This window comes from Homo sapiens, chromosome 13, assembly GCF_000001405.40.
Source record: "Homo sapiens chromosome 13, GRCh38.p14 Primary Assembly".
Lineage (NCBI taxonomy): Eukaryota > Metazoa > Chordata > Mammalia > Primates > Hominidae > Homo > Homo sapiens.
This window is the reverse complement of record NC_000013.11, coordinates 48,544,309-48,557,832: the sequence shown is the minus strand read 5'-3', so window position 1 is coordinate 48,557,832 and position 13,524 is coordinate 48,544,309. Positions and strand designations below refer to the sequence as shown.

Below are 13,524 nucleotides of genomic sequence, written 5' to 3'. Positions count from 1 at the left end.
TTAATGTCTAGTTTAATTTCATTATGGTCAGAGAACATACTCTGTATGATTTCAGTTCTTCTGTTGAGGGATTTTTCTTTAATGGCCTATGATATGATCTACTGGGAAGGTTCTATGTAGCCTGAAAAAAAACTGTGTCTTCTATTCTCATTTGGTGGGGGTATTCCATACATGTCAGTTAGAACTTGTTGTTTGACTGTGTTGTTTAGATCCTCTCAATCCTTGCTGCTTCTTAGTCTGTCAGTTCTAAGAGAGGGTAGAAAAACATTTTGAACAGAAAACCTAGGCTAGTTGTTTACTTTCTTTCACATATTAGTTTACTAATTCAATATGCACAGAACGTTAAGAAAAATATTTAGCATTTTATGAAAAATAAACATTAATGATTACTGAAATAATCTCCACCTGTTTAATTTCAAAGAAATATAAAAGTGAATGACTCAAAACCTAGACGGTGTTTTTCCAACCTAAACAAGTCTTCTTTCCTCATTAAATCTTAAAGAGACCATTCATATTTTGCTAAATTTGCACCAGTTTCATATCTGATGATCAAACATTTTACTGTACCTAAATTCACATTGTAAAGTAATCCATGCTGTTGTTTTCTATTATTTCTAAGATTTCTCTGTGTGTGGTAAGGATTTGTCTTGACTTACATGAATTTTGAGTAATGCAAAATCTCCACAACTACATGCCTTCCATGAAGTGTGACTGCTGTATAATAAAAAGCTAGTCAAGTGAAAAGAATATGGCCTTAGAGTTAAAAGGCCTAAGCTGATGAAAGAATCTTCAGATTGTGGAAGTATGAGTTAGTAGCAAAAAAAAAAAAAAAAAAAGGAAATTTATTTTAGCTATTTCATGGTGAATCTGCATAATAAGAAGAGTAATGAGAAAAAACGTTAAAGCAACCTGAGGAAAACACATATATTAAGAAGAAATGAAATTTAGACTCAAACAGCACATGACTCAATAGCAACAACAAAAACCGGATGGTAATAGTCTGTTATCTTCAAATTGCTAAGAGAAAATAAATGCCAATCTAAAATTTTATATCAAGCTAAACTACGATTTAAATGTAAGGACAAAATGAAGACTTTTCAGCTAATAAAAACTGAGCTTACCATTTTTTATCACTCAGTTGTTGCTGAGTAATCAACAAAGGAATATAATTAAGAAAACAAGAAACAGGACACAAAATGAGTATGTGGATATAAGAAGCAACATTAAGCAAAAAAAAAACTGGGTAACATGTGGGTATATCCAACGAATTATTAACTATAAACTGATTTAAATGATTAATTTTGAGATGTTTAAAGGGAATATAGAACCATAAAAAGACTACAGCATGGAATATTGGCAAGCATGGGAGAAACTGGAATTAAAGCATAAGAATGGTATGTAATTTAGTATGAGGGACAAGATTTCATTAACATTTCAGTTATCTGTCATCATGTAGAAATAGATCCCAAGTATCAGAGGCTTAAAACAACACCACTTTATTTGCTCACAATTCTGTGGGTAAATGTTTTTTTTCACTCACTTAATACTTGTATTAATTACTTTATTACTTGTTTTCATTTACTTGTATTAATTAATTACTTGTTTACTAGTATAGAGGCAGTTCAAACAACTGGATGCTGGCTGGAACACACAACTGGGACCATAGGCTGGGACCTCAATTCTCATTGTCAGCTCAATTCCTCAGTTCTCTTCCATGTGATCTCAAGGCTTCTCCCTCTCCCTGTGGTTTTTCCATACAGTCTCTCCATGTGGCTCTCCAGCAAGTTAGCCCATGGCGCCTAAGAGTGCAAAAGCAGAAGCCATTAGGCCTTTTAAAATGTTATATTCAGATCTGATGTCACGTCTGCCACATACTATTGGTTAAAGACAAGCCCAGATTCAAGAGGAGCAGACTACACAAGGGCCTGAATACTGAGAGACACAGTTCAGTGTAACAGAATATTACAATTAACTTTAGAGTTTGTCATATCAGTTATGCATGCTAAAAATTTAAGGTAACTAGTAAAATAATTAAAATAAAGTGTTGAGGGCCCAAGAAAACTTAATAAATCAAATACACTAGAGAAAAGTGATGGTAATAGGGAAAAGTAAAAACAAAGCATAGTAAATGCAAAACACAAAAAAAGATAGCAGACATGAAACCAAACATGTCAGAACTTACAATAAATATAAATGGGTTAAATTAGCTTTTTAAAAGAAAACTTTTTATAAACTATTTAAAAATTAGCTTTTTATAAGAAAACATTCAAATTATAATGACCCAGAAAAATTGAAAGAAAAAAGAAAAAAAAAGAAAAATATACTAGGCAAATACTATACAAAATGAAGATGATGTAGTTAAAGTAATATCAGATAATAGATACTTTAAGAAAAACTTTGGTTTTAGTGATAAAAAGGATTAAGACTTAGTGACAGAAAAAAACAATTGATCAGTAACAAATAATCTTGAACCCATATGCAATGAACAATATAGTCTTATATGCATATAAAGCAAAAAAAATAGGAGAAATTGTGAAAATCTCATTAGGATGGGTGAAAGAGAAGACAGAAGACAGAAAAAATAAGTCAATATATAGAAAAATTGAATAAAATGATATTAACAAGCTTAATATAAGAATACATGAGGAACTCTTACCAACAATTAAAGTTTGGAGCACCTATAGAGAATTTATAAAAACTGAGCACTCTTCTAGGCCACAAAAGAAGTCTTAAAATACAAATTATCAATAGCATACATAATAAACCGGTCACAAGGCAATAAAATTAGAAACTGAAATTTCAAAGTAGTCTGAAAGAAACAATTACAATTAAATTTGAGATGTGTTTAAACCTGAATGACATTCTATGAGTATTGCATTTTAAAACTTATTAATTACAGATAGTGATACTAAGAGGAAAAATTATAGTTTTAAATGTCTACATTTTTAAGATAGAAAATAGATGAGTTAAATGTTCAATTAAAAGTTAGAAAAAAAGAATGGAGTAAACACCCCAAAATTATAATTATATAAGAAAGTCTAAGTAATTCTCTGACAAGATTGATCAAGAAAAGAAGGCACAAATAAACCATATGAAAAATAAGAGTTTAACATAAAGATCATTAAAACTTAACTAAATACTATGAACAACTTCATGATAAAAAGGGCATTTTTGGTTTAATGTAAGTTATGTAAATTGACTCAAGAAGAAATAAAAAACTTGAATAGGTCTATATCCAAGAGTAATATTTTAAAATATTCAACTGATACAGGATAGACAATGACGAAACCAAAGGACAACTAACAAATCCAAACAGACAATTGCTGAAAAAAACTGGTATTGACTTATCATGGGTACTAGATTACTTTCAACCCACTCATAACTTTTGAAAAAATTAATTCAAAGGTTTACAAAATAAACATACCAAGAAACACTATGCCCAGAAGAGTTTACAAACAAGTTTTACCAAAATTTTAAGGGGCAGGTAACTCTTTTTAATATTAGAAATGTTTCTAATAGAGGCCAGGTGCAGTGGCTCATGCCTGTAATCCTAACACTTTGGTAGGCCAAAACAGGCAGATCACCTGAGGTCAGGAGTTTGAGACCAGCCTCGCCAACATGGTGAAATCTCATCTCTACTAAAAATACAAAAATTAGCTGGGTATGGTGGTGCACACCTGTAGTCCCAGCTACTCGGGAGGCTGAGGCAGGAGAACCGCTTGAACCCAGGAGGCAGAGTTTGCAGTTAGCTGAGATCATGCCACTGCACTCCAGCCTGGGCAACAGAGTGAGCCTCCATCTCAAAAAAGAAAAAAGAAATAAATATTTCTAATGGAAAAGAAGACTCATTTCCCCACTTAGAACCAGGCAAGAAAATATAAGAAGGAAAAATTGAATGTAAGCTTATGTATAAATATAGATGCAAATCCTATAAATAAAATTTTAGCAAACTGAATTCAGCAATGTATGCAAAAATGTTATCATGACTTAGAAGCAGAGAGTAGAATGATGGTACTAGATCCTGGGAAGGATAGTGGGAAGAAGGGATGCCAGAGGTTGGTTAAGGAATCAAAAGTACAGTTAAATAGGAGAAATAAGTTCTAGCATTCTATAGCACTATAGGATGACTATAGTCAACAATAATTTATTGTATATTTTCAAACAGCTAGAAAAGAAGATTTTGAATGTTCCCAACATGAAGAAATAATAAATGTTTGAGGTGATGGAGATGGTAATTACCTTGATTTGATCATTACACATTGTATGCATGTATCAAAATATCACCGTGTACCCCATAAATATGTAAAATTATGAGTCAATTAAAAATAATAATTTAAAAAATTATTATGACTAACCAGTTTATCACAGGAATGTAAGGATAGTTTAAGGCATAAAAATATATTAATATAATTTGCCATATTAAAAAATTTTTTAAATATATGATCATCACAATATATGCCCAATAAAAGCATTTAATAAAATTCAACATTTATTCATGATTTTAAAATAAACAAAAAGAATATTTAATTGAGGAACAGAAGGAAACTTTCTTAAACCATCAAGAACACTTATTAAAAACTTACTACAAATGTCACACTTGGTGGTGAAATGAACTTTAAAAAATTGTGCTCTTAATTCTTAGTGATGTAAAGGGAAAATGCAACATTATCACAAATGTGAATGAATTTTATTCCTCTGACATTTCTCTTCATATCTAAAAATTTATTATTTGCTCCCATGCACCATATACACCAAAAATATCTAAATTTTGTAGCACAGAGTCCAAAGCTTTCTTGATTATTGCCACATAAAGTAGATAGTATCCCCACTGGCATCAGTTAAGATAGGTTCAGTCAGCCGGGCGCAGTGGCTCACTCCTGTAATCCCAGCACATTGGGAGGCCGAGGCGGGCAGATTACGAGGTCAGGAGATCAAGACCACAGTGAAACCCCGTCTCTATTAAAAATACAAAAAATTAGCCGGGCATGGTGGCAGGTGCCTGTAGTCCCAGCTACTCAGGAGGCTGAGGCCAGAGAATGGCATGAACCTGGGAGGCGGAGCTTGCAGTGAGCCGAGATCACACCACTGCACTCCAGCCTGGGTGACAGAGTGAGACTCTGTCTCAAAGAAAAAAAACAAAAAAGATAGGTTCACTTACAGTGTGCAGAGAACACACGAACGGTGACTTATAGAAGACAAAAGTATGGTATGGCAACTCTACAGTCATCAGAGACCCAGGCTCTTTCTCAATTGTTGCTCTATCATCTTCAACATATGGTTTCCATCCTGTGATCCAAGAAGCTACTTTAGGTCCAGCCATCACATCCACATTCTGACCAAGCAGATGGAAAAAGTGAAAAAGAACAAATATCCCCTATCTCTAAGGACTTTTTCAGGATGTTGTACACATCACCTTATGCTTATATCCCATTGTCTGGAACTTAGCTATATGCCATACCTACCTACAAGCACAGCTGGAAATGTAGTTTTTATTCCAAGTGGCTAGTACACAGCTAAATTTTCGGGCTTCTATTATAGGGAAAGAAAAGAAGAACTGATATTGTGAGAATAATCAATAGTTTCTGACACACCATCCTTCTCCCTTTCTTTTCTCCTTCTCCAAAAGGGAGAATACTAATTTGATTCCAGAATATTGACTGGGTCATGTTGTCACAGAATCCTTGGGGTATCACTTCTCCAGCCAGAAACCTCTGTGGCCGGGGTGCCTTCTGCCTGAGTATTGCTCACACTCATTGGGCTCATTCCACCCACCTGGCCCAGCAGGCTGCACTCAGCTCACACTACTGGCCCAGATCCCACACCTGCCAAGTGCCAGCCAGTCACAGAGCAATTAGAGGTGTGTGGGTGAGTGAGCACAGGGTCCAGACACTGCACACAGCCAGTCACACTGGTGGGGCAGGCAGCTCCAGGCATGGGCATAGGTACCAGCTCCATGCAAGACTGCAGCTGGACTAGATGTACTGCACGCAGCTTCCACTATGGGCACCTGCATCTGGACAAGGGGAACGTGGTGGCACCTGGAAGTTTGGAGATGCCAGAAACTGCAGAACCCCAAAGAGGTTGTCACAGCCTTGGTTCAGGGAGCCCCTAAGTCTGGGATGCCCAAAGGGCCATAGCTCTTCTCTCCTTGTCACCCACAACATGGTGAGAGGGAAGCTGGGGGATGCATTTCAGCCTTGTTTGTGTTACAGCTCTTTTAGTCCTGCTATTTGGCAGGTCCCGAGTTGTTGTCCCATGTCCAGGAAGAATGAGGTACACAGACAAGTGGATGGTGAGCAAGGCAGAGAGGCTGAGCAGCAGAACAGTTCTCAGGAGACCCTAAGTGGGTAGCTCCTTTCTGCAGGCAGGTTGACCAATGAGTGTCCAGCCCTCAGTGGAGAGGAGACCCAGAGTGGGTAACTCCTATCTGAAAAAGGCAGGTTGTTCCATCATCAGCCTGAGTCTGGCTGAGTGCAGAGTTTTTATGGGCTTCAGAGGGGAGGGAGTGCATGCTGATTCATCTGTGAGTGGCCATGGATGGGCCAGGAAAAAGCACCATAAATTCTCACCCCATTTGCAGAACTGGCAGCCTGGCCCCCCGGCTTCATGCCATCCCTGGCTTGAAGGTAGGGCTTCACTGGGGATCTGTCCCTTTCCACCCAGAAGCCTGTCTGCCTCCTGACACCATCAACCTGCCCTCTATGGCACCCATGGTGCCCAAGCTGTTTGTGCTCAGGGGTGCCTGCAGGCCCCTGCAGAGCTGTCCTCAGCACCCCCTCATCCTCCCTCTGGAGCTCATGTTGGAGCCCAAAGTCTGGAGGGAGCTGAGGTGGCAGGGGGCTGGCATGTCAGTGCTGCTCCAGGCATGTGCACACCTGGCCATGTTGCAACAATGCTTGGACTTGGCCTCAACTTTACTCCTAAATTGGAGCAGGCACTGGGAGCAGGGAGAGGCCAAGCAGTGGATGCAGGCACTTTCAAGCCTGCAGGGACGGGGGGCTTCCTGGGTCCCCAAGAGCACAGGGATGCCTGGGTCCTCAGCCTCGGCAGGGTGGCTGCAGCTGTGCCCAGGAGGGCAGGGCTCTACTCCTCCAACTCAGAAGCCCCCACCTGTTCCCTGCTCCTGTCAACTCCATGGATCCTGCAGCCCCTGCTGCACCTTTCCCACTGCAGTTGGCAATCATGACTGCTGCCGCCATCGATATTTACTCCTGAACAGAGCCACTGCACAATAAAAGGTCTCATGCATAGATGCATTGATGTAACCCTTCTTGGATGCTCTGCTCCATTTCTTCCCTCCATGAAGCTGAACTGGTAAACTGATCAAGGCTTTGTCTGAGGGATAATCTAAGCATCTTTGTTTCTGGTCTCTTTTTCTTGATTTATAATTGTCTGGTTGTTCTCAGGGCAGCAGTTTGCTAGTGGCTTGCTTTGGGCATGCATGGGATGTGAATCACATGCTTCCTTCTACTTTACCCAAAAGTCATGTCTTAAGGGTTATGGGCTTGAGACCAGCTAATATGCAAAATAAAATGGATATATTGGTTTTAGTTTTAAAGAAAAAGTACTTGGAATCAAAGTCAAAATCTCAAGGGACTGCTCAAGTAATAAAAGATGGTAGCTACATTGTTTTACATATAGAAGGAACCAAAGAGGCTGGAGGCTGTGAGGTGGAAGGATCAGAAGGAAAACCACCTATAGTAGGATGGGGCAAGGAGAGATGAGAAATGACAGTGGGGATCTGCAGGCTGTGTTCTGGGCAAATACCTTGCCAACCTTCTCTTTTTTCTTATCAGTGAAATATTCAGTAAAGTGTTCATTGTTCACTAAGGCATTATATGAGTAGATTCTTGATGGAATTCAAAGAGGAGGAGGAGACAGGTGACAATCTGGATTCTACCACTTGCAAGTTCAGAAACTCAAGACAAACTAACTTAAGGAAGAGAAAAGGAAAGTAAGTTGGCTTATAAAACAGGGAAGTCTGGGGATGAATTTAGATTTACGCATAGTAAATAACATTGTTTTCTCTCTCATTTCCCTTCTCTCTCCCTGCCCTTCAATCTCTCTCTCTCTCTCCTTCTCTCTCTCTCTTTCTTTCCATGGCTGCTCTGTTTTCCTCTTTCTATTGGCCTCACTCTTTTCCTTTCCACTGAAGACAGGCTTCCTCCATGCAACCAGGGAAGGCACCCACTGGTAGCCCCAGATTCACATTCTCCCAGCCCAGCCATCCCAGCAGAAAAGCAATTCACTCACCACATTTGTATATCAATTCAAAAGAAAGCTGTTCCTGTGGAATCACGTGGCCATTCTTAAACCAATCAGTTTATCAAGCATATAATGAACCATGAGTGACCCAGTCTGGATCACATGACCATCCCATGGCCAAAAAGTAATTGACACCCTGTCAGTCCATTTGTGGTGCTATAACAAAATACCTGAGACTGGGTATTTTGGAAATACAGATATTCACTTCTTACAACCCTAGAGGCTGGCAAATCCAAAATCAGGGCACAAGCATCTGCAATCTGGTGAAGGCCTTCTTGCTGTGTCCTCCTATGGCAGAAGATAGAAGGACAAAAGGGCTCAAACTCCTTCCATCAAACCCTTTTATAATGGCATGAATCCATTCATGAGGGCAGAGCCTATATGACCTAAACACCTCCCAAAAGTCACCATCTCCCAACACTTGCGTTGGGGATTAAGTCTCCAACACATGCATTTGGGAGGACAGATTCAGACCATAGCACAACCCCACATGCATTTGGGAGGACAGATTCAGACCATAGCACAACCCCATCCAGACCATATGGAGTTAGGAAAATGTTCCCCAAGGCAAATGGCGTACTGGGACCAAATGTGCTGGGCAGGCAACAACAACAATAATAACAAGACCAAATAACCCAACAGTTTCCCCAGTCCACTATACTATGTTATGTTTTCTATCTTTAAACTAAGATTAAATCTCCACCCCAGAACTGAGCAATTCATATTCTCCTACCACTGTGAAAGTGTTGAATGGATGGTGTGGAGAAATAAAAATGGGCCTAACAAGGACTGAGAATACCATTTTTGAGTCAGAGGAAAATTACGGAAAAAACTGGGTTTGGCTTGGCAGCTTTTGCAGGGATGCTAAGTTCATGACAGAATGGATTCCTAGAAATAAGATTAAGATGTCAAAGTATGTTCATATTAAATATTGACAGATTTTACCAAATTGCACTACAAAGAAGGGGTTTCAGTGTACACTCCCACCAGCAATGCCTGTTTCCCACACCCTCAGCAAGACTTTATATTATAGAACTATTTAACCTCTTCCCTCTGAATAGTTTATATGATGGCTTTGCAAGGCAGGGTAGCCCGCAATTAATCATGAGAGAAAATACACGATTTTTTCCACAGATTTCTTAGCTGAGGATGGATTCTTTCTTTTGTGTATGTAATGATCTATGCCTATAATAAGTCCATTTTATTTCCTTTTTTAAAATGAAAGAATGTTTTAAAATGGAGATAGTAATGTGCATTTACTCAATATAGAGAACATATGTGTGTTTTTTAGACCAATTCCATCAATGTAGAATGTGATTTCATTTCAGGAGTTTAAGTGAACAGACTGAGAGAAACTATTAAAAAATATAAAAGATTAAAAGGCCTGAGAGATAAAACAGTTTTCATAGGGAAGAGAAAATCTTCTGGAGAAAGAAGCTAATTTTAAATTAAACAGACCACATTCCCAAATTCACTTGCTGTATTTATGAAGCACTGTTGGAGAGAATCTGTGCTTCATGACCTGACACTGCTGAATGGTGCAATCCTCCCACGAATACCAGGGCTGGCCTATACCTGTGGTTTTGCCCCCAAATGCCAAGGGCAAAGGTTACACTCAGCCAGTCTTAAATGCCTGGCTAAAAAAGGTCTGAAACACAAAAGCAAATATGGGTAGGTTTTCGTTTATTCTTTTTCCAAAATGTCAAAAGCAGATATTTATTTATTTATTTGAGATAGGGTTTACTTTGTCACCCAGGCTGGAGTGCAGTGGGAGGATCATAGCTCACTGCAGCCTTGAACTCTTGGGCTCAAGTGATCCCCCGACCTCTACCTCCCCAGTAGCTAGGACTACAGATGTGCGCCACCACACCCAGTTATGACCAGGCCCATTCCAGAAATTATAAGAACACTCCAAGGTGCTAGAGATGGGGGTCTCACTATGTTGCCTAGATGGTCTCGAGCTCCTGGCCTCAGTGGATCCTCCTAAAGTGCTGGGATTACAGGCATGAGCCACTGTGCTTAGCCTTAATTTTTTTTTTTTTTTTTTGAGACAGAGTCTTGCTCTGTCACCCAGGCTGCAGTGCAGTGGCATAATCTCGGCTCACTGCAACCTCCACCTTCCAGGTTCAAGTGATTCTCCTGCCTCAGCCTACAGAGTAGCTGAGATTACAGGTGCACACTACTATGCCCGGCTAATTTTTGTATTTTAATAGAGACGGGTTTTCTCTGTTTTGGCCAGGGTGGTCACGAACTCCTGGCCTCAAGAAATCTACTTGCCTCGGCCTCCCAAAGTGCTGTGATTATAAGCATGAGCACCATGCCCAGGCTGGCCTTAATTTTTTAAATAAGAGGTTGTATACATATTTTACCTACTAGATTTAAATAGAAATTTTCTGTATATGATTAAGACTAGTTATATATTAAGATAGAATTAACCATGTAAGCCTTCTGATATTGTAGCAACAAACACAGATGAAATGAAAGGACGCAATGTATACATTCTCATGAAATGGTCACTTGAGTTCCATTGAAATCTGTGTTCATAGCCTAAATGTAGTAAATTGAGATAATATGGATAATCTCAGTCAAAACTCATTTATCTCATCATTATTTAACTATATCAGGTCCAAGTTATGCCATGTGACTCAGCTCTTCATTTTCTAAAACTTTAAAGTTTTAAATCCGTAGGAAGTTTCATCCATTTTTAAAATATGCTGTAAGAAGATGCTGGATTCAGACAGACCTGGGCTTGGTACTCAGTTCATCTTAAACAAGTTACTCAGCCTCTTTAAGCCTCTCTTTTCTAAAATGAGGACAGTGACACAGTGCTCATCTCATGGAGTTATTGTGAGGCTTAAAATAGGTCATATGTAAGGACTTAGAGCAATGCCTAAACATAATATGCATGCTCCAATATTGTCATTATCACTATGATTAATGGCACATGGTACCTAGTACACAGCACTCAATAAGTGTTAGTTCCTTTTCTCTCTAACAGAAGCTCTTGTTGCCATGGTTCTGCATTTCAAATCATTTGCCATATACATGTCTTACCACTAATTTATATTCTAAAGCCAAATCAGTTCAGGGTAAAGGAGTTACACTGAGACAGGAGTTTCAGGGACAATGCTAAAAACATCAACTTTGTTCTAAAAAATAGTTTTGATCATATTCTGTGAACAGACGAGAATTGTATGACTTAGCGGTGTCAGCTTTCTAGCATTATCTTCAAAACACAATTTTCCGTTTCACAGTGGATGCTTTCATAGTGATCCATAGGCCTGTATCCTCTGATGAGCCTAGAAAGCATCAGAATAATCCTCTTCAAGTCTCAAACACTGAAAGAAAAAGGGAGGGGACCAGCAGGTTCCCTGAGGATTATCTCTTTGGGGTAGAAAATCCTCTGAGCTTTTTGGAAGATGTGGAAGACGTATCTGATCCATGAGCTGGTTCAAGTGGTCCTATGGGGTAGGAAAGGGAACAGGGAACTAGGAAGACTGGTTAAATGAGGGCCTGGACATTCCCATGAATGAAGTGGCAGTGCTGGGTCATAGGTGATCAGGAAAGACAGAGTGCTATGGAAAATGTTGAGATACACAGATGTGCTGGGAAAGCATTCCAGGATGTTGAAACCCCGAGTGAGCCAAGGAAAAGCTAAATCCTAATCAAAGAGAAGTCCAAAAGAAAGCCCTGTCAATCTTGTGGAAAGAGATCAGAAATAGAAGTGAACTGAGGTGAAAAGTAAATAGAAGAGAGCATGGGGCATAGCCACAGAGCCTGGAGCATTGCATTGCATCTTCCCGGTTTCTCAATAGTGTGGGTCCTGCCTACTTGGCAGCCCTGTTGTAAACCATTGACTGATAATCGCCTCCAAATTTGCCTGTCTTAAGCTTCATTTCTCCTTCTATAAATTACTTGAGAAGTCCCCTGGGAACAGAATCAACAGCCATTTTGGTGGTGATGTTGGGACAGGGTTTCAGTCCCACGGGCCATACCCCAGGCTGCATAACTCCAGGGGATAGGGCCAGAAATTTTCTATAGACCTCTCTCTTAATTTTAATTTTGGAAACCCTGAAGCTGAGTTTACCTCAAACCCATCACAAGGGTAATTATCTCAAAGTACAGAAAAAATTAAAATGTTCATGTTGTTTCTTATTCCACTGTCATGTATATGAGACCATCAGTTTAGACTATACTATTGAGCTTTAGAAACATTATACCAGGTCTTGCAAAATGAGACGATATATTGGTTTCCAAGGTTTCTCTAGCGACTTGTGTCTCAGGCCCCAGACTCTAGCTAGGAACTAGCACACCAGATAGGAATCTCAGGAGAGAGGATTAAACGGACACTGGTTCTAAATAATACAGACTCAATACCGTTTCTTCTAGGTGAGGCTCTTAAACTTTCTCACTGACCCATGCATTGTGATTTCACAGCTGGGATGGCATTCTTGAGCCGAAGCTGATGTGAGATTCCGGATTTTGAACATCTTGGTGGGGAGACAGCCCCATCCTTCCTTCCAGGTTGCAGATTTGCTACAGTATCTCCAGACCCAAGTTGGCTCAGACTGGAATGGCAGGATCAGGTTTGAGTTCCTGCTGTTCCAGAGAAAACTTAGGAAGGCCTCATCTGACCTCTAACTAGATTTCAGAGCAGTCTGTTCCCTAAAGTGAAATTTGAGTGAAGAGCCAGTTTTGTAGGAAGGCTGCAAATGATCAGGCCCATTCCAGAAGTTATAAGAACACTCCAAGCTGAGGGTGTGAGGAACACCACCCCACTGAATACCCTAAAAGGAGAACAGAGATTGGATATCAAGGCTCCAATATGGCCCTGGGATTGATGGCCTACTGTTTTTGAACTGGGGTCAGGATCACATCTTTATCTGTATGTATGGGGAGGTGATTCCTACTGTCAGTCATCAAGTGAAGATGTGGATTTGTCCAACCAAAACACAAATCTGCAGATGTCTTGGCTTAGTTTTACGAGTTCCATGCTGGCTTCCAGGAGCCAACTGTTCCTCCTTTAGAGCTCTGACCCAAGGATGGACAGAAAAATCTTGTTTTCAGTTTAACCCTTCTGAAGACTCCAATGATGCTAAGAGAAAACAAGCGAGAAATGACCAAAGAGACTATACAATGTAAGTATTTGCCTAATTCTTGCTTTCTCTTCTCCTCTCCATCTCAAAACCACTGCTCAAATTCCTCTGGATTCCTTCAACCACGTCTATTTGTTTCCCTACATCCAACCTGTCCCCCTCA

General features: G+C 39.7%; 1 long non-coding RNA gene across 1 annotated transcript in view; it reads right to left on the bottom strand.

Moving 5' to 3' along the window:
• Nucleotides 1-1,472: 1,472 nt before the first annotated feature.
• LOC124903174 (uncharacterized) overlaps nt 1,473-13,524 on the bottom strand; it is a 28,657-nt gene continuing 16,605 nt past the window's right edge. Inside the window, exon 2 of the long non-coding RNA XR_007063795.1 lies at nt 1,473-1,799. This is a non-coding gene — a long non-coding RNA (uncharacterized LOC124903174). The remainder of the gene's footprint in view (nt 1,800-13,524) is intronic.